At 39.4% G+C, this 21,260-nt stretch overlaps 1 protein-coding gene and 1 pseudogene across 6 annotated transcripts in view; one reads left to right on the top strand and one right to left on the bottom strand.

Annotated features, from left to right (window-relative positions):
• ARHGAP10 (Rho GTPase activating protein 10) overlaps window positions 1-21,260 on the top strand; it is a 340,689-nt gene that overhangs the window by 178,438 nt on the left and 140,991 nt on the right. For all 6 annotated transcript variants that reach the window (XR_001741324.2, NM_024605.4, XM_005263215.4 and 3 more), the window contains one exon: window positions 2,549-2,614. Coding sequence is in view for 5 of the 6 variants with exons in the window: in NM_024605.4 (NP_078881.3) it covers window positions 2,549-2,614 (66 nt within the window). In the remaining variant the exon portion in view is untranslated. The remainder of the gene's footprint in view (window positions 1-2,548; window positions 2,615-21,260) is intronic.
• RFPL4AP4 (ret finger protein like 4A pseudogene 4) lies at window positions 6,011-6,839 on the bottom strand (annotated as a pseudogene).

Here is a 21,260-nt window from a genome sequence, read left to right on the forward strand (position 1 = left end):
GTTTGACTACAGGCTATACAGATAGTTTATCAGTGCACCTTGGACAATAGCAACAACAATTAAATTTATTCAAATATTCAAGGACAACGATCTTCACATGCCACTGCTGTACTTGAAGAAAATGAAACATGCCCAGCTCTGTACCCTTGATTTTTTTTTTTAACTTACATAAAAACGTGATCAGATCTGCTGGGTTCCTGATGAATTTACTTTTGACATATTTGGAAAAATTAAGCTACATTTATCAAATGTCCACAGTTTGTAAACACTGTGGTTATGTAACATAGGATTCCAATATAATTGTGATCACTTGAGCCAGTGTTTGAATAAAACACAACTCTTGTAGCCTGGCACTGGTGATGGACAGGATGCCACAAGCAGCACATCCCCTGAGGCACCTTCTTACCCCTCTTCCTTCTTCCCTTCTCCCTCTCTCCTTTGTTCTTTTCTTCTTCTGACACCTTTTCTTCCTTCCTCCCTCCTCCTCTTCCTCCCTTTTCTTTCCCTTTCCTCATTCCCTCCTCTCCCCTTTCTCTTTCCTTCTTTTCTCTTTTTCCCTTCTTATTGCAGAGACGTTAAAACATGTCTTTTTTAGAAAACACGGTTTTGCTAAGCAGAAATAAATACTTCCATTTTATAAAGCTTTGTGAATAGTGAATTCTTGAGCAGAAAACCACTGCCCAATTCATTAAAATTCTCTTCAAGCTTAGCACTATGGGTTATGTATGAAGTTTATATTCATGGATTGTTCTTGTAACCCTTCTGAGAGCCAAGGATTAGTGTTACTGTTCCCTAGGTTCTAAATGCAGTGGCTAAGGGTACTTAACTTAATTTTTGTTGTTGTCGTTGTTGTTGGAGACAGAGTCTTGCTCTGTCGCCCAGGCTGCAGTGCAGGGGCGCAATTTCAGCTCCCTGCAAGCTCCGCCTCCCGGGTTCACTCCGTTTTCCTGTCTCAACCTCCCGAGTAACTGGGACTACAGGTGCCCACCATCACGCCCGGCTAATTTATTGTATTTTTAGTAGAGACGGGGTTTCACCGTGTTAGCCAGGATGGTCTTGATCTCCTGACTTCGTGATCCGCCCACCTTGGCCTCCCAAAGTGCTGGGATTACAGGCGTGAGCCACCGCGCCTGGCCTCTTAACTTAATTTTTGAAACAAGAATTGTCATTCATTAAGGATATACAGATATGCCAGCCTAATCATAGATAAGCATCTATATTAGAAAAAGTATAAAAATTATATTTCCAAAATAGTTTGCTCTGCCATATGAATCATCTGTTTTAAATTTATTATGAAAATAATAAAATATTATTTTAAAAGCTTGGAGCATGGTGTAAAATATCAAAATTTTAATTCAAGCTTATTGCCCAAATATTTTTAAAAAGCTTTTCTTAAAATTTTTCCTCCTAGGTTTTTTTTTTTTAAAGGATTGTGTTCTTAGATTCTCAAGTAATTTAAGAACATTCACGTGTGTGTGTGTGTGTGTGTGTGTGTGTGTGTGTGTGTGTGTGTGTATAGTTTTCTTTAACTGAGCTGCTGTTGGAATTTTTGGCAAAATATATCTTAACTGTGTCTAGATAGCTTCCCTTAGAGATTTGTATCACTTTCTTTTTGACTTTTAAAATGAATTGTAGTTATTAATTTTAAAATTATTTTACATTACAAATATGTATACTATTGGTAAATAGAGATTCTGATATTCCAGCAAGTGCTCTAAATATATGAAATTCCTTCCAGGCACAGTGGCTCACACCTGTAATCCCAGCACTTTGGGATGCCAAAGTGGTCAGATCACCTGAGGTCAGGAATTCAAGACCAGCCTGGCCAACATGGTGAAACCCCATCTCTACTAAAAATAGAAAAAATTAGCTGGGCTTGGTGGCGGGCACCTGTAATGGCAGCTACCTGGGAGGCTGAGGTGGAAGAATCGCTTGAACCCAGGAGGTAGAGGTTGCACTCTAGCTTGGGTGACAGAGTAAGACTCCCTCTCAAAACAAAAACAAAAAACAAACAAACAAACAAATATATATATATATATATATATATATATATATATATATATATATATATATAAAATTCCTGTGTATATTATTTAAATAGGAAATACATAGCCTTAAGCTTTTTTTTTTTTTTTTTTTTTTTTTGGGGAGACAGGGTATTGCTCTGTCACCCAGTGCAGTGGTATGATCATAACTCACTGCAGCCTCTACCTGCTGGGCTCAAGCTATCCTTCTTCAGCCTCCTGAGCAGCTGGGACTACAGGCACCCATCATTAAACCTGGCTAATTTAAAAACATCTTCAGTAGAGGTGGGGCCTCACCATGTTCCCCAGGCAAGTCAGGAACTCCCAGACTCAAGTGATCATTCTCCCTGGGCCTCCCAAAGTGGTGGGATTACAGGTGTGAGCCAATGTGCCTATCTGCCTTTAGCTTTTTAATAGTAATCTAAAAATTAGTTTGGATTTAAATAATTTTTCCTATTTTTAAAAGGAAGAGAAATGTGATAAATAATAATTGTACACTTAATGTTTTAAACTGTTTCTTGTAGATGCACAGTTGGATAAGATGGGGTTCACAATTATCAGAAAATGCATCAGTGCCGTTGAAACACGAGGTAATATGATTGAATCATTTCATTCATGAGAGGCTATAGGTATGTAAAATCTAAAAGTCATTAAAAATACTTCTTGCTTTTAAGTGTTACAGAATGAAACGTGTTAACACAAATGCTCATTCTGAGTATCAGAAGGATCAGTTATTCATTTACTATGACAATGAGGGATTTTCCTTTTTATTTACATATTTCTTTCCTATATGAAAACATGAGGTCAGTGTTGAAATGAGAATTGTCTTAGTCTGTTAGATCTGCCATAGCAAGATACCACAGATTGGGTGGCTTAAAGAATAGAAATTTATTTTCTCGTGGTTCTGGAGGCTGGAAGTTCAAAATCAAGGTGTCAAATTCAAGGTTTCTTCTGAGGCCTCCCCACTTGGCTTGCAGGTGGCCCCCTTCCCGCTTTGTCCTTAGAATGCCTTTTTTCCTTTGCACCCATGTCCCTGGTGTCTCTTTTACATGTCGAAGTTTCTTCTTATAAGGGCCTATTAGATTAGGGCCCACCCTAAAGGCCTCTTTAAAGCTCCCATCTCTAAATACAGTCACATTCTGAGAAACTGGTGTTTAGGGCTTCTACATAAGAATTTTAGGGGGATACAGTTCAGCCCATAAGAATCCTTAGAAGAATCAGCAGTGATGTACAACTCATCGTAATCACTTTTGGTTGAAGCACTCTGAAGATACTCTCCACCCTCCATTGTTGTGTGGGTCCCTGTTTAAAAAAATCAGCTTGCCAGACGTGGTGGCTCACGCTGGTAATCCCAGCACTTTGGGAGGCTGCGGTGGGCAGATCACCTGAGGCTGGGAGTTCGAGACCATCCTGGCGAACATGGTGAAACCCCATCTCTACTAAAAATACAAAAATTAGCTGGGTGTGGTGCATGCATCTATAATCGCGGCTACTCGGGAGGCTGAGGCAGGAGAATCAGTTGAACCTGGGAGGCAGAGGTTGCAGTGAGCCGAGATCGTGTCACTGCACTCCAGCCTGGGTGATAGAGCGAGATTGCATCTCAAAAAAAGAAATCCGCTTTATTGAGGTATAATTTGCAGTCAGTACAATTCACTGATTTCAGCTGTACAAATGGAAGAGTTTTGAATTGAAAACATACACAATTGTGATACTTTATTACATACACAGAAAATTTCTGTTTCCCTCACTGAGTTCTTTTCTGGCACCTACCTTCCTCCTTTCCTGTATTTGCTGCGTTGCATTTTTATTTTTATTTTTATTTTTTTAAGATAGGGCCTCACTCTGTCACCCAGGCTGGAGTGTGGTGGTGGAGCCATAGCTCACTGCAGCCTCAAATTCCTGGGCTCAAGTGATCCTCCTGCCTGGGCCTCCCAAAATACTGGAATTATAGACATGAGCCACCATGCTTGTCCCTGAGCTATTTTTTAATTACGCATGTTCTGCGCTCCCCCCCCCCCCTTTTTTTTTTTAACATCTTCAGCATTTTTGTACAAATGGAATCATGCAGTTCATAGTCTTTTGACTCTGGCTTTGTCTGTGTAATGCTTTTGAGATTCATCGGTTGGGTGGATACTTAGCTCTGTAAATTTCTGTTTATTGCCTGGTAGTATTCCATTATATGGATATAGACCACAATTTGTTTATCCATTCACCTATTGATAAATATTTGGGTTGTTTGTGTTTCTGTTTTAAATTTAGGGAAAACTAATTCCTCCGCTGACCAATAACCCAAAACATTTTTTTTTAAGTCTCTAAGCAAAAATTGGGCCCTTTTGCTATGCAGCCATTCCAGCAGACTTTGGAGATACTAAATATTAAACATTGCAAAACAGGCTATTTCTGGAGGTTGACATTCTCTTTGTTTAGCGATCTAGTGAAGTATGTATAAATGGAATATTTAATTCACTCTCATATATTCTGTATTCCAGTCCGACTTTGGATGCCTTAGTGGGGTGAAGTACTGCCTTCACATTCTCTCTCCAAACAAGGTCTTTGTTATAAAGACAGGACTGCCACCTATGAAACTAGTGTGTAGGATATCGGCGGAGTAGGAGCTGTTGTATGATTTGGGGATTTGCCCATCAATAACAACAACGTATGCCACAGAAAGCCATTCTTCCCACATTCTCTTACAGTGGCAATTCACACTGGCAGGTTTTCATTCATTTCAATCTGCACTGAAGCTGAGCTGGCAATTTGTTTCTTATCCTGGTACCTCGAAAGAATTTCAGAAAAAATCCCTGCAATTTTAGTATCTTTCACTTGACACTCATGTTTCTTTTTTTCTGAGTTTCTTAAGTAGAACTTTGTGTCATTTGCATGCTTATTAATTTGGATAAATTCTTTCCCAAAAGGGCATGTTTTATACATACTTATTTCTGCCTGAATAGATGCAGATCTATCTAGAAGGCTTTCTGATTGGTATGTGTAGTTTTATGGAGTGTTACATACATTGAATGGCATAAATATATATTGGAATCTGGAGGCATTGAATATGTTTTTATAAGTATATAGATGTTGAATAGGTCTACACATTTTATGTTAGCTTTTCTCATTTAAAAATAAGAGACAAAAAGCATATATTTTTCTTTTTGAATATTTTTCCCCCCAAAGGTCTTCCATTACTGAAACTTTTGCTTTCAGTGGAGTAATAGACTAAAAATAAGAGTTTAAAAGAATCAACAGAACTTATTATTGAAAATGATGAGGACAGCTGGGGGCACTGGCTCACACCTATAATCCCAGCACTTTGGGAGGTTGAGGTGGGAGGATTGCTTGAGCCCAAGAGTTCAAGACCAGTCTGGGCAACATAGCATGACCCTGTCTGTATAAAAATTTTTTTAAAAAAATTAGCTGAGTGTTATAGTGTTTGCTTGTAGTGACAGCTACTCAGGAGGCTGAGGCGGGAGGATCACTGGATCCCAGGGGTCGAGGCTACAGTGAGCTTGGAAAACAGGTAAAGAGATGGAAATAGTTGGTAAATAGCATTAATAACTATTGTACACTTCTTGAGTCTATGTGACTGATGACCAGAAGCATTTAATGAGATCTAATTGAAGAATTACTTCTAATCACCGTTTCCATGTTCTAAATATGATTATCTAAAAACTAGTATTTCATATGGTTCGGTTAAAGCCATTAGCCTTTTTCTTACCTTTTCATTTCATGTCTTTCTGTTTTTGATCTGACTGCTTAGAACATATTTATTGGAACATAAACATAAACTCAAAAGACTACTGTGACAATACTTACTATTTTATGGCATTTTTCTTAAGCTATCTATTCAGTATGTGTATGACTTATGAAATGTTCCATATTTTCCTCTTGTAACTTTGTCCCATGGGTTGCACCAACCGGAAAAAGTTTTTAGCTTTGAGCACGAAGTAATTTTTCTCTAATTGTTTTTGTGGCCAAAAGTTTATTTGCCTTGGCTCAGAATAAACTGGAGAACTGGCAGTGCCCAGATTATTCACAGGACAAATACTCAGGAAGCCTGAACATCATTAATTGCATTCACAGGAGCAATTTCTGTGGCTCTGTAGCAGAAACTTCAGTGAATGGTAAAGATACGGGGTCCATCGCTGATGTTATAAAAGGAAGTGATTCCAAAAGTCCACATCCAGGAAAATTTCTACATGGTATAGCTGCGGGGGCATATCTAGAGGGTAAAGGCACAGTGTACTGCCTGAGAGGAGCTCTTTTCGCAAACCTAGAGCCTGGAAGCCAAGTTCTGAAGACAGTGGAATTGCCCCTTGTTAGTATAATTAACAGATTGTTAGCAAACTCCCAGATCCCATTCTTTGCTTGCCCCTACATCTGCCTCCCAGTAATGGTGGCCAGAGGTGAACTGAGGGGAGCCAGGATACAGATTATGTGTTTGAATCTCTCAGCGTATTCTCTGTGATTCTTTTAGAAATGTCTCCAACAAACATAACTCTGGTCATCAAAAATTAGAAATTGATTGTTCCTGTGTCACCATCAAAGATCGCATGCACTTGGAACATCAGCATCCTTTGATTCAGGAGTAGGATAGCTCTCAGCTGGGGCTCTACTTCCTTTATTTGGAAACTGTCTTCCCCAGCTGGTAATTGGGCCTGATGGCATTCTTCAGAGTGACCACAGAGCAGAAGAGCCACAATGAACCTCCCCCATCAGGTTCCTTGAAAATTGAGCTAATGTATTGAAGGCAGCAGACAGAGCCACAATTTAGGGACATGGGTTTTTCAAGATACGATAAACAGACAACACATGTACATCTCTAAATTGTTCTGTCATAGCCACTTGTCTCCTCCACTAGGGTCGCCTGTGTCCTCCAGCTGCTTCCACTGACAGCTCGATTGTGAAGTGAGCTCCACTTACAAGAGGCTTGTATATAGAGGGTCCCTTCCCACTGTGTTCACATTCTACTAATCCTCCTTAATTCAATCAGATTTTGATTTAATTCTGCCATAAGTTAGTTTTTTTCTGAAGCCATAGACAGATTAGCATAAACAAAGGAGATCATTTTAACTTAAGAGTTTCAGAAAGTAGTATGGACAAAATATTATCTTATTCTAGATTAGGTTGTATATTTTATAGATGTTGATAGAAGAATAGGATTATGACTAAAACTTTTGAAATGAAATATTTGACTTTGAAATTAATTTTTATGAATGGAGCTAATTTCATGTAGTTTTTGATCATGAAAATAAAATCTCATTTTGATTAATTTATCACATTTACTCAGAGGTCTTAAAGTCGCATTTATTAAACCAGTCCTTTATTCAAAATGATGAATAAGATGATGAAGATACCCACTTAGAAGTTTATTGTAAAAAAATCATAAAACTGTTCACCTGCAATCAGGCAGCCTTAGGAGAGCCTGTATTTTGTTTGGTTTTGTTTGGTTACGGTATCAAAACCAAGATATTTTTATAATCTTACTGCTTCTACAACATATGTATATATAAAATGAGATACATTTATTTAAATACACTGGATTTTGGAGGCTGAATAAGAAAAATAATTTAAACTCTCATTAAGATTTTTTTTTTTTTTTTTTTTGAGACAGAGTCTTGCTCTGTGGCCTAGGCTGGAGTGCAGTGGCTTGATCTCGGCTCACTGCAAGCTCTGTCTCCTGGGTTCACACCATTCTCCTGCCTCAGCCTCCTGAGTAGCTGGGACTACAGGTGCCCGCCACGAAGCCTGGCTAATTTTTTGTATTTTTAGTAGAGACAGGGTTTCACCGTGTTAGCCAGGATGGTCTTGATCTCCTGACCTCGTGATCCACCTGCCTCGGCCTCCCAAAGTGCTGTGATTACAGGTGTGAGCCACTGCACCCAGCCCTCATTAAGATCTTTGAATAATGTTTTTATGATCAGTGTAAACCCATATCGAAAAATGATAACACATTTTGCCAATTGAAATCATTTTGACTTGGTTCCTTTTACTTTATTTAGTATGACTACTGGAAAATGTATAATTGCATAGGTGGGTCACATTGTCTTTCTGTTGGCCATCCCTGGTCTGGACTTAGGGGCCCTTCATCTCCCTAGCTGTCCAGCCTACCTGGGGCACAGACCTATCACGGCAGCTGTGAGGTTGAGTAAGCCAGTTGGGGAAATTTAATTCACTATCACTGGGAGTAGCCCAAGCTATGATTGAGTGAGAAAAGAAAGAATATGTCATGTCTCTCACATGGGTACTGAGAATCTAGTTCTGTCTGTAGCTCCTAGAGCAGAGGACCAAGCATCTCTGAGGACACACGTTGTGCCTGGCATTGAGCTGGCCTCACACAACACTTGCTCTATTAACTATTCAATTATTGGGACCTTACTCTCTCATACTTACCTTTTGTAGAAAACTAAGAATTAGAAATTACATAAGATTGGACTCATTTTTCCTCTTCTACTAAATTCTCTTCTGGCCTCCAATTGCTTCCGAAGGTGGCTCAGTTCTCCTTACCTCTTTCTTAACATGTTCTTTTGAAAATGACATTTGACGTTTTTATTAAAAACTTTATTTGTGATATTATTGCAGTATTTGCAAGGCTTCAGACAAATGTCTAAACTGTACTATCGTTCTCAGTACTCTTAAGATGACATTTTTAGTGTATAACATATCTTAAATAACAAATAATAAATATATGACCTATGGATATTAATATATTTTGGTAGGACTGGCAGTTACTTATAAATTATTCTAGTTTTGAGATAAGAAAAAACTCCATTTTGCTACAGTATCAGCATAAATTAACAAACCATACTTTTCCATAGAGTAGTTTGCTCATGATGTTTTGGCATGTGTGGGAGTCACATCAACTCGTCTTTCATCCGTTTACCAAATATTTGCTAATAATACATACCGGCTCTACCACTAGGAAGTGACTGCTTTTTTACACTGAGCTAAAAGACTTCCTAAAGCAGTTGTTCCCAAACTTTGCTGCACATTGAAATTACCTGGGATCTTTTAAAAACAATTTTTTTTTCTTTTTTTTTTGTGGAGATGCAGTCCCTCTCTGTTGCCCAGACTAGAGTGCAGTGGCATGATCTTGGCTCAGTGCAGCCTCCGTCTCCGCCTCCCGGGTTCAAGTGATTCTTCTACCTCAGCCTCCTGAGTAGCTGGGATTACAGGCGTGTGCCACAATACCCAGCTAATTTTTTTGTATTTTTAGTAGAGGTGGTGTTTCACCATGTTGGCGAGGCTGGTCTTGAACTCCTGACCTTAAGTATCTACCCTCCTCTGCCTCTCAAAGTGCTGGGATTACAGGCATGAGCCACTGTACCTGGCCTTAAAAATGTTGATGCCAGGCTCTCATACCCTGTCAGCCTGACTTAATTGCTATTGGATGTGGACTGGGAAGTAGGATTCTTTAAATTTCCGCAGATGATTCTAATATGTAGCAAAGTTTGGGAGACCACTGTCCTAATGGGAGAGTTGCTTGTGTGCTGGAGAAGTGGGATACACCATTGTTATCTTCATGTTGATAGTGTCCTGCTTCATGGGGAGCTTTTCTCTGAACGTCTTTTAAAAAACAACATAACCTCGCTGGGCACAGTGGCTCATGCCTGTAATCCCAGCACTTTGGGAGGTCGAGGTGGGTGGATCACCTGAGGTCAGGAGTTTGAGACCAGCCTGGCCAAGATAGTGAAACCCTGGCTCTACCAAAAATACAAAAATTAGCTGGGCATGGTGGCGGGTGCCTGTAATCCCAGCTGCTTGGGAGGCTGAGGCAGGAGAATGGTGTGAACCCGGGAGGTGGAGCTTGCAATGAGCGGATTGCGCCACTGCACTCCAGCCTGGGGACAAGAGTGAGACTCTGGAAACAAAAACAAAAAACCCAAAATCCCTGCAACCTAAATCCAAACAAATCATCAAAGTCCCAAAGAAAATAGCAGAACGTTCTTTTTGTTCCCTCAATAGCAGAAGACTTATCGTAGCTAAACCCTAGTTCTAATCAGAAGCCAGTCAGTTAACCAGTATTTATTAGCATCACAGGACATGCATAGTCATGCTCTAGGCCTCTGGGATACGTGTTCAACGTTGGTTACATACAATCCTTGATTTATTAGTGGCTGACAAAACAAAAGATTTGTAAGTAATTGAAGTGTACCAGATGATCAAAATGTTGCAAATTTGCACCGATTAAGAGAATATGAGTGCATGTTGAAGGATTGGGAAGCATGTGATGTTAATTGAGGACTGTCTTTAGGAGTAGGCTTCCTCAGATTTAAAGGATGGGAAAGTATATTTTGGCGTTTAGAGGAAACTCAGCAAAGATACAGAGAAAGGGTGACTGAGAAAAGACAAACTTGGTTGTGAAGGAAACATGGAGAAACAGTAAAAGCAGGCAATCAGGCTTATGCATTTGATTGTAAAGGAACTGGGTGAATACTAGAAGGTGATACGTAGCAAAGAAACAGGCATTCAAAAAGTAAATATGAAAACTAATATTGGTAGTCATGCATGGGATGCCCCAGGGTTCTGCTTAGGATGCAGTATTTATAAGCGAGGTAACTGATTCTGGATAATAGGTTTGGCAGTGGGGTAGATAGTGCAGATACAGCCGAATGATTTTGCTGAAGTTGTACCAGTCACATTTAGCAGTTGGTTGTATATAGAGGATAGGAATTCTGCAAGGAATTTTACCTTGAAGTGTTAGTTTGGGTAATGAAGGATGTCAAGGAAATTGAGAGGTCCATGATCTCATAACGTATATCAGGAGCACTAGGGGTGCTTCTTGGAAATTCAGATAACTGGTCTCAGTCTACATCTGTTGAATCAGAATTGTTGACGATTGGGTCTCTCTGCTTTAGACGATGAGAGATCCAATAGGAATAGTCAGGTGGAGAGAAGAATTTTCTGATCTTCTGCCTTTCGGGGACAGAAGATGCCCCAGGGGCTTTCCTGAGAGAGTAGGGTTTATGAAGGCTCTGGGTCATGGTGCCATATAGCATTTGGGATAATGACAGAGAGCATGTGGATGTAAGGCAGAACTTCTATCCTAAAATGTGAGGTTGAGGGAAGAAATAACAAAATGGCTAAATGTAGTCATGTTTCATTGTGTCAGAAGCCAAAAGCAGTTACAATTTCAAATGTGTTTTAGGTGAATCCCAGACAGACTCAGAAGTGTTCATGGCAGCTCCTGTTCACTCATCCCACCGTTTTACCTCCAGTCCCTCCCACCTGCCGTCTCTGTGTGACATCTGGCTTCTGGTGCCCCTGTAGTCGTTTATTCCTATGTGGGAAAACATTCCCCTTATTCTCAAGTAGCTTTACACCACCTTTCCTCCACTGTCTTGGTCTTGCTGAAAACCAACATTACTAACATTACTGTGCAGCCACCATGATTTGTAGCTCTCTCATGATGGAGTCATCTGCTCTGCCCACATCTCTGGAAAAAGATAATGGGCTTGGCCTTCTCCCCTGCCCCTCCTGCACCTCCTGCACCTCCGACATCTCTCACTCTTGAGCTGAGTTCTGCAGGGCAAGAGGAATTGTCCAGGTTTGCAAGGATGTGGGGTGTCAGAAGGAAGGAATTTTGGCAGAGGGGTGAACGAGGGTCAAAGGGTAGATGATGGAAACAGTGTGATACATTTGGGACCCGAGGGCCATCAGGCAAGTTAGGAGGAGTGGTAGGAATGGAGAGTGAAGGGAGGGAGGGAGGCAGGCACTCAGATTACTCTGCTGAAGGGTTGCCTTGCCTTTGAGTGATAAGGACCTATCAGGGTTAAGTTCCAAAGTGGTGCAATAAGATAAGCATTTGGAAGGATTCTTAACCTCTCAGACCCTTAGTTCCTTTAAAAAAAAAAAAAAGTTGGCCGGGCGCGGTGGCTCACGCCTGTAATCCCAGCACTTTGGGAGGCCGAGGCGGGCGGATCACGAGGTCAGGAGATCGAGACCATCCCGGCTAAAACGGTGAAACCCCGTCTCTACTAAAACTACAAAAAATAGCCGGGCGTAGTGGCGGGCGCCTGTAGTCCTAGCTACTTGGGAGGCTGAGGCAGGAGAATGGCGTGAACCCGGGAGGCGGAGCTTGCAGTGAGCCGAGATCCCGCCACTGCACTCCAGCCTGGGCGACAGAGCGAGACTCCGTCTCAAAAAAAAAAAAAAAAAAAAATTTTATTCATACTACCTCCCACCCAGCTTTGTGAGGATTAAAGAGTGAGTCTTTGCACATAGTAGATATTCATTAAATGCCTATCTTCATTTCCTTCTTCATCCTTCTCCTGATTTGTTTTAATCTTGAAATGTGCATGTGCCTCATTTGGCAGTTATATTGCCTGGTATTTTAAGTTATATTTCCTATGTTTACTTTGTTTCTGGAACTTTACTGTTTACTCAGAGAAAATGTCTTATTTATCCTTTGCTTGCCTCTTCTCATTTCTAAATACAGGCATGCCTTGCACACATAGTAAGCACTCAGTAAGCATTTGCTTTTTGCTTCAGTATTCAGATTTGACTAAAATTCCATATTGGTAATATTGTGTGTCTCAACAATTTCTAAAGTTATTGGAAGAATTTATATGTGGTTGGAATTGGTACTTTCACATAACATGTAGGATTGTTTTTCATTCCTTTATGAATTTATGTCAGCATCTTTCTGAACTGTGGGTAATATATTAGACGTAGAAAAGTACATCATGTTATGTGTGAAAGAGTCTTATAGTTTCAGAGATTGGAGTGTAATTACATCATTTCTTTGAGTAAGTACAAATGAGCCGCCCCCCATGAGCAGTGCATTGTCTCTTTCTGGGCCTGCATGACACCTAGGTGCATGTACTGTATGATATGCAAAAACAAAGTAACACTCTTTTGCTTAAAAACATCTTTTAGTTGCTATTTTTAAAATAGTCATTACCATTTAAAACTAAATTTGGATGCCACTTTTGTTTATGAAGTTTCTCTTAAAAAATCTTCCATATGTGGATAATTTGAATATTCACTTTAATTTTCTAGAGTATGGCATTAAAATGTCGATCTAGGCAAGCTGTCAGTTATCAAATTCAGCATTGTAACAAGCTGTGAATTCATGGGATAGAAGTAGGAAGCCACATACAAGATTTGACAATCTTTCATTTGTTGCATGTAAAAGCAAATTTATCTTCCTTTGCAAAGCAAAGTTTTAGATTTTTGGAAAACCTTACCGCTTGAAGATTGCTTTGCCTCCAGAGCACTTTAGAATTGTATGGGGTTCTCAAGATGGGCTCTGGTAGAAGATTACAATGTATAATTTCAGTATTAATCTTCAGGGGTATGGAAAGGAAGATGTCCAGAGTGAACCTGAAACATATTTTACCAATTGCGCATTAATTTTAAATTGCCAAGGGCAATGAAGAAAATAAAGAACAGCTGTCCTCAGAAAATTTACAGCAAGTAAACTAGAGTTTCTCTCTGTCTCTGTTTTAATCAAAATGGGTGTGAGGTGAGCGTGGGTGGAAATAGAGGACAGTCTTCTGTGGGAGGGAGTTGAAGAGTCTTGTGGTGTCTGCAGAAATGCAAATGCAAAATTGAAATAATAAATCCAGGCACATCAGGACTGAATATTCATTTTCACAATTAGTAATCTTATTTGTTTTAAGGAAACTCTGAGAAACTATTTGTTTCCAAATGAATGGTCACATTAAATTAATAGGGGCACATCCTTCCTCTGAGACGGCGAACCCCGAGTCCTTGCCTTTACCCCTCGTCCATGTGGTTTAGGGTTTGGTTTAGGACTGTTACTACTTTCCTGTTGTCCAGTGACTGTTTTTTTTCAGCCCATGAATTAAACCTTCTTTTCTCTTTGTTACCTATGGTTTTATACGTTTTCCTCCTCTTTAACGCATCCACAGAATAGAAATGAAGAAAATTAATAGGACTTTATTCTATCCTTACAATAAATCATCTTGCTTCTGGGTGTATTTGGGGTTGGAGGTTGGGTAGTTGTCAGAAAATGACAATGGTATATTTTCAAGTAGTGCTGAAGGTGTTTTTAGAACAGAAGAAACTTGGTGGAACTGTCTTGCTACAGAGTAGGCATGCTAGGCTTTGTTTTTGCATTACATTCTGATGAGGTCTGTGACATTTTATGGTACACTGTTAGCATAGTGGTGAAGAACATTAGCCCAAAAGACTATCTTGATTGTAATCTCAGTTTTACTCCTTATTAACTCTGCCTGTAACCTCTCTGTGTCTTTATCATCTGTGAAAAGGGATAAGGATCAGATCTCCTTCATGGGGTTGTTGTGAGAACTAAAAGAGAATGCTTAGGACATTGGCACCTGTTGAATAGCCAGTAAGTGTGAGTTGCTTATTTAGAGATAAATCCAGTCATTGAGGCCAATTATAATTAAGTAGTCTCATTATTGATTTAAGGCTCTAGGAGATTGAAGAACTTTCTATTTTTTTTTTTTTAAAATAGCAATTTACATTGGGAAATAAATCACCCAAATTCACTTTATCTGTTAATTTTATATGGCTCTTAGAACAAACAGCAAAATTAACTGGTTTGGCTTTTAACCTCTTCCTCTTCAGTGATTTGTGGACATTTGAGCATTAAGATATCCTGAGCAGTAAAATAGCCAGAGGCTCAGGAAGAACACCACGGTTTTCAGATTATCTCAAGCTTTTCCTCAGAAGCCAAACAAACACCACAAAACACCCTGAAAACCAAAAGCAGGCATTCTTCCTCCTGGGATTTAGTACCTGCTGCTACAGCTGCTCTGAGGTGGAGAGGCAGAGGGCAGCAGCGAGACACAACATTAGGCCTTTTCTGATGTTTCCCATCTCTGCAGCAGAGGAATGAAAAGGAATCTTGCAAAAAGCAACGGCCCACTTTTGCCTTGAGTTTGAGTCTCTTTTTGATTTATTGTAGTAAAATTTTGCTAGTACTTAAACCTGAGCTACATGAGTGATGAGCTTGAAAATTTATTTAGCTGTCCCATCCTTTCCAGCTTACTTTAATACTTACCTATGCCTGGGCACACACATGTTAGATGGATTTTAGTTGTAATTTTGGGGTATTTCTTACAGGGAAGGTATTAGAGGAAAAAATACTAGAAATATGGTTCCTGTTCTTAAAGATGAGCTTCAATCTAAATTCAAGACAGAGATTTTACTCTACTTTCATGTTAACCAGTTATCCTGCATAGTTCCACGGATACTAGTAGAAGACACAAGACTCCTGGATCTTTGACACAGGACAGTTTATTACTGTCAGTAGCTAGAGCAGTGCATTTTGTGCTCATTCCCTGAGCCCTGATTCCTCAGGGCACTGCAAAGATGGCCAGGTGATACTTATGGATGATACAGTTGGTTGTGTTATAGGAGGAAAAACTCTGAATGCAGAAAACTCAGATCTTTTATAATGGCCAGCAAGGAAGCCTTTTGCTCTAGGAGACACCATCTCTATTTGCTAAGGCTGCAAGCAACCCTGCTCTTTGCTCCAGAGGGTAGATATTGGAACAGAGGGTGCTTCCACCATGCTGGGGTGGTGTTGGTAGTGGTGAGTGGGTGGTATGATGTGGGGAGATGTTTGTGAGCAGTTGTATCCAGAGGGTGGCAGATCCCAGGTGCTGTGCTGCATTGTCTGCCTTAACTCTTTCTGTAGGCTGTGGTGAGCTATTGACAGATTTGGATGGGAGTGTGTCTTGAGATCTTTGACAGAGAATAGAATTGGTGGGAATAGAATGGGGGTAAGATGGAAGGCAGGGCGGTTGCTTGAATTTGGGGAGTAATTCAGATAAGAAATGATGGAGGTTTAAACTAGAATATTTGCAGTGGAAAGAAGGGATGGATAGGAAGAGAGACTTCGCAGACAAACAGAATTTGATGACCTGCTGGATATTGGAAGTCAGGGAGAGAGGAAAGTGAAAACGAACTCTAAGCCTCCCAGACCAGGTGGATGAGACCTTTAGCCAAGGCAGAATGCAAGATGAGCAGTAGGTTTGGGAGGGATAGAGACTGGTTTTAGATATTCTGAATGCAAGTGGCATGTTATAAGAAATAGAATGAAAGCAAGAGGAGAGATGGCAGGAATTATTTTTAAAGAGGTAAGGTTTTGAGTGTCTAAGTCAAGATGATAGTGGAGAAAAGGACAGAATCTTTGTGAATGCTTCTATTTTGATGATGAGAGGAAGAAGAATAATGGAGACATAAGACAGAGGGATAGGAGGCGAAGGAAGAAGGATGGTTGTAAGGGAATCCATAAGAGGGGAGATTCCAAGAAGGAAGAAGTCAGCTGTGCCAAATACTCTAGAAAGGTCAGGTTGGTGGAGGAACAAGAAACAACCATTGGGTTTAGTGGCTGGAAAGTCAAACTAGATAATAGCGAGGTTGTACTTGTTTTTTTCTTAGGTGTTATTTTCTCATAAGAACCATGTGAGACAGGTGGTATTATCCCCATTCGCATGAGCCCCTGAAGTGAAGAAACGTGATTTGATTTGTCTAAGTCTCAGAGGTAGAGAGCAGTATACTACAACTTGCTTCCAAGACTGTGTTTTAAATACCCACGCTCTTAACCACAGTGAGCATGAGGAGATGGAGACACTATAGTCTGACCTTTTTTTGAGGATGTTGGAGAGATGAAGGAAAGAAAAACAGAAGACAAGCTGTTAAATAACAAAGTTTAAAAGTTTGAGAGTACTGTAGGAAAGGGAAGTTGGGAGGGAAGATTTAAGTATCACCCACTGAAAGTGTTCATCTAGATTCAGGATTAAGCCATTCTAAAGTTAGACCTGCCTTTTTTCCATAACAACTGCTTCATGGATTCTGAAGGTGCATCCTTGGCCCAAGAGAGATGCACTGTCTTTGCTGAGGATTGCTGCAACACCTCGTGAGGTCTCTTCATAGCAGGCAAGATGTCAATACAGAATCTGCATATGACAATATATTAAAAATTTTAACGTATTGCATTTTATGTTTTTGGAGTATATCACACTCTCTCACACAGTCTCCATAAAACTCGGTAGCTGAGCAGATATATATTAATAGGCTCAGTTGCACATGTGGTATCAGAGGCCAGAACAAGGTAGGATAAACCTGTCACAGGTCACACAACTAGGCAAAGCTGGGGTTTGGAGCCTAGTCTCCCGACTCTAAGCCAGACTTATCCTATGGCAGCAGAAACAGGGTGAGAGGAAGAGTTGGTGGACAGTGCAACTTATTGGTGATAGGGGAGCTTGATCCTAAGGGAAGGCGCAGAGGCTGTGAGATACTCCTTTTGCCAAGGTTCATGCTGTGAGGAAAAACTGAAGGGCACATTGAGTGAGTCACAGCCAGTGCCTGTATTAGATACTGGGATCGGGAGACCTCTGGGAGAGTGTGGGGCCCCAAAGGTTACTAATGAAATCGGAAACTCCCTGTTACTCCGTCGCTTTCCTCTAGGCCCTGTCTCGGCACTTTGCCAGTAGCTTGGGTAGAAAGAATAGCAACAAGTCTAGGGCATCTGGTCTGAAGCTAAAATGCTTTCTCTTGTGTTGCCTAGAAACTGAAAACGAGGCCAGCCACCTGTAGTATACAGTCCATTTTGACCATAATACAGAGGTTACAGCTAGTAAACTTTCTACCTTTCGTATTTGAGACTTGGATTCGGGAGGATGAGACTTAGCATCAAGTCTTAGGTGTATCTTTAGAAGCCTAAAATTGTCAGTACTTCCAAAAATACGGGTTTAGACCCAGAAGTGAGTATTTGCTTTGCACTTTTTAAAATATTTCTCACTTTTCTCCTGGGATGGGACAGTAGTGAGTGGATGTGACAGACAACCCCAGTGGGCACAGCCACCCTTACGTGCCAAACTGTCTGGTTTCTGTGTTGAGTCTCTGGTTTGTTTGGGAGTGGGAAGACTGTGGGAATGAGATCCTAAGACCTTTCCTGAAAGTGCCTGCTGGTGGGGAGGCTAATCATCACAATACAGAAATGCGTTTACACAAAGAGTAGGAGAAGGCGAACATGCCAGTGAAAGCAAGACTTATATAGGAAAGGGAAAAACAGATTAGTTGGTGGCAAATAATAGCTGTCTGTAATGTTTTTCTATCTGCTGTTCAAATAATTATCATCCGGGGAAGAACTTACAAATGTTATTGGTGAGCAGGAATTGTATATTTTCCATGAGTCATTCTCGTTAAATAAATTTTGACTCTCTTCCCAGCATGTGCTTTATTTTATGAAAATGGGCTTATAGATTAAAGGCCTTGGTTAGGACATTTATATGTATCGTGCCTGGCTATTTTGAAATTAATTTTGAGTTTTATACTACAATTAAAGCTTGTAATGATTGCTTGGTATGTGTGAAGCTCATGCACTTGCTTTGTAAACATTATCTCCTTTAATGTTCACAGCAACCCAGTTCCCATCATTAACCCCATTTTCAGATGAAGAAGCTGAGCACAGAGAGGCTGAATAACTTGCTAGGTCACATAGCTAGAAGGTGGCAGAGTTGGAAGTTTTCAGGATGTCAGTAACCTTAACTTGTAATAATTTATATTTTGTAACCTTAACACATTTGTATTTCCAAGATATGTTTGTTTTTTATTTAAATGGAGGTACCAAGGTCCAGAAAGTTTAAAATGTTATTCAGTATTATGTTGAATCTCATCTTTGTACAGCTCTACTTTATCTGCTGCCTCAATGCTTAGGAATTATCCCTTACCCTGCTGCTTGGCAGTATTTAATGCACTGTAAGTGTTACAAATAATGCATTCTTTTCCCAAAGCTTTAGAATTATGTAAATACCGTATCTTAAATTTATGATGGTGAATATGTCCCTTTGATGGAATAGAGAGAATCATTCTTCTGTCTGCTTATATTTAAAACCATTTTAATATAAATACACATTTTTGACAGAATGTTATAATGTTATGAATTGCTGAGTATCTTGGAAGAGTATCTTTGTGTATGAACCTGTTTATTTTTATGTAACCCAGTGCAGCAGATAGCCTAGAAAGTGCTTACTATACTTAAACAGACATTTAAACATTAGTGCTTACTGAGGACTAGTTATAAATATATGTAAGGAACACATTATCACATTTTTGTAATCCACCTATGATCTGAAACAATATTCATGAGTCTCTTCATTGCTTTTCTTAATATTACCTTCATAATACATCATTCTTAGCCAGATTGCTAGGTATTTCCTCACAAGTTTTTCTAATTATTTCATGAAGAGTGCGTTTTTCCTTCATTTTCAAGAATATTTCAAGATTAGCTAATGTTAGTAATTATATATGAAAATATATACATATAAGGCATCTAAAATAATGATTAATATTTTTATGTGCATAAAAGCATGTTTGTTTGTTGTATAACCCATAGAGAAATCTGTCTTTACAGTGCTAGAGGGATATGCAAACCTATATTTGCATTTGTGCATACACATGTGTGTATATATATGCACATGTGCCTCATTAATGATGAAATGTTAGACTTTTGATGTAAATCCTGTGAATGCCAGTATGAACATTAATGACCTTTTGCCCCTGTTGTCAACACACGTGAGTGCAAATAAATGATTCAGTCCCTCCACAAATATTGATGAAGCATCTCATTCCATGCCAGGCAATCTGCTGGTTACTAGATGAGAGCTGAATGTTAGTTTACAGAACCATGGAATTTGAGAATGTATTTCTGTAGAATCATACGGCTGCAAAATCCTTTTTAATCATTTCATGCCTGTTACCATCAAAGGTGTTTATCTTTCACTTTGAGCCCTTCTCCTTTGTTGTTGTATCTTTTTCTGTCATGTATTTTATTTCCGTATTTCCCTTACTGATTAATCATCAATATATTAATTGTTCATTTATTTTTCAATTCATTTGTTAAATATATACCATAGGCTAAGGACAAGTTGAGGTATTAAGAATATGGAGCTATCGGGTATAAAAACTGCCCCTGAAGCTGAAAAGATAAGAAAGAACTTCTTGGCCTATTTAGTTTCAAGTTACTCTCTTTTAATTTTAATTGTCTGTTTAATTTTACCCTGTGTCTTCACTTGATTCCACCTCACTGCCTAAAATATAAGTACTCAGCAATTCCTGTGAAATTAACAGGAAATTAAATGTTATGTAATTTCTAGCCTATCTTCTCATTTATTTCCAATTTTTCCTCCCTTTTATTTTGTATTCTCCCTGTTTACCATTTCTATTTTTTAAAAATTACCTGTCTTTTCTCTTCTGCTTCCTTTATTCTAATGGTACTTTGTTTTCAAATTCATCACATTTATTTGCCAGCTGTAGCTACTCTAGCCTTTATCTCTACCTCTCTTGTTTACCTGCATTTATCAGCCCTCTTAAGTTTTATTTTTCTTTTGCATCTGATTTTTTAACTATCCCAGAACATCTTATTTTCTGTGTTGCTTCTCCAGCCCACCTACAGGGACAGTGGATGCCTGCTAGTGCTCAGTAGTTCCATGCAGGTGTTTTCTGGAGCTGTGTGGTCTCTGGCTCTGGTAACACCATTTGGGTTTGAGAGGGAAACAGCTGAGCAGAGATGATGATGAAACTTGACTGCTTCCCACTTTTTGACCCTCTCCTCTAGGAAGATGTGGGTGATGTGAGTAGTGCTCTATGACAGTGTTGTGGGAGATTGGAGGAGACAGATGGTAGGAAGTAAGACACATTTGATTTTACCTTATCCATTTTGCCCAGAGACAGCTGTCATCAGCTGCTCATCACTCTAATGGAGATAAGCTTACCTTTTGTTTGCTAACTATCAGAACGAATCTCAATCTAATTTATTAAGAGAGAAAAAAAAAAAAAACTTGGGGCCTGTAAACACATTGACCAGGTTACAAATTTTTGTTAAAAGTTAGACAATATTGATATCAATATCATCACTGAGCATTTATATCTGAAAAATCACAATAATTTGGATATTTTAACTTTAATTTTTCAGTTCTAAATTGTGATGTCCATTTTGGCCCAAGTCTATATCTATAGTTCTATATCAAATTCAAGTCAGATCAACCTAGCTATACCTATTCTGTGCCCACCTATTCTATACAAGGCACCATAAAAGCTATTAAAAGCAAAAACCAAGGTTGACCAAGTATCTTTCCAGGCAATACCTCTGTATTTGGAGAGAAGGTGGAATACAGGTTCACGATTCTTCATCTGAAAATTCCAAGGCTAGGTGTGTTTTGGAATTCAGACCTTTTTAATTAAAAAAGATAATAGATCATTCAGAACATAGGCACAGGCAAAGATTTCATGACGAAG

This window comes from Homo sapiens, chromosome 4, assembly GCF_000001405.40.
Source record: "Homo sapiens chromosome 4, GRCh38.p14 Primary Assembly".
NCBI lineage: Eukaryota > Metazoa > Chordata > Mammalia > Primates > Hominidae > Homo > Homo sapiens.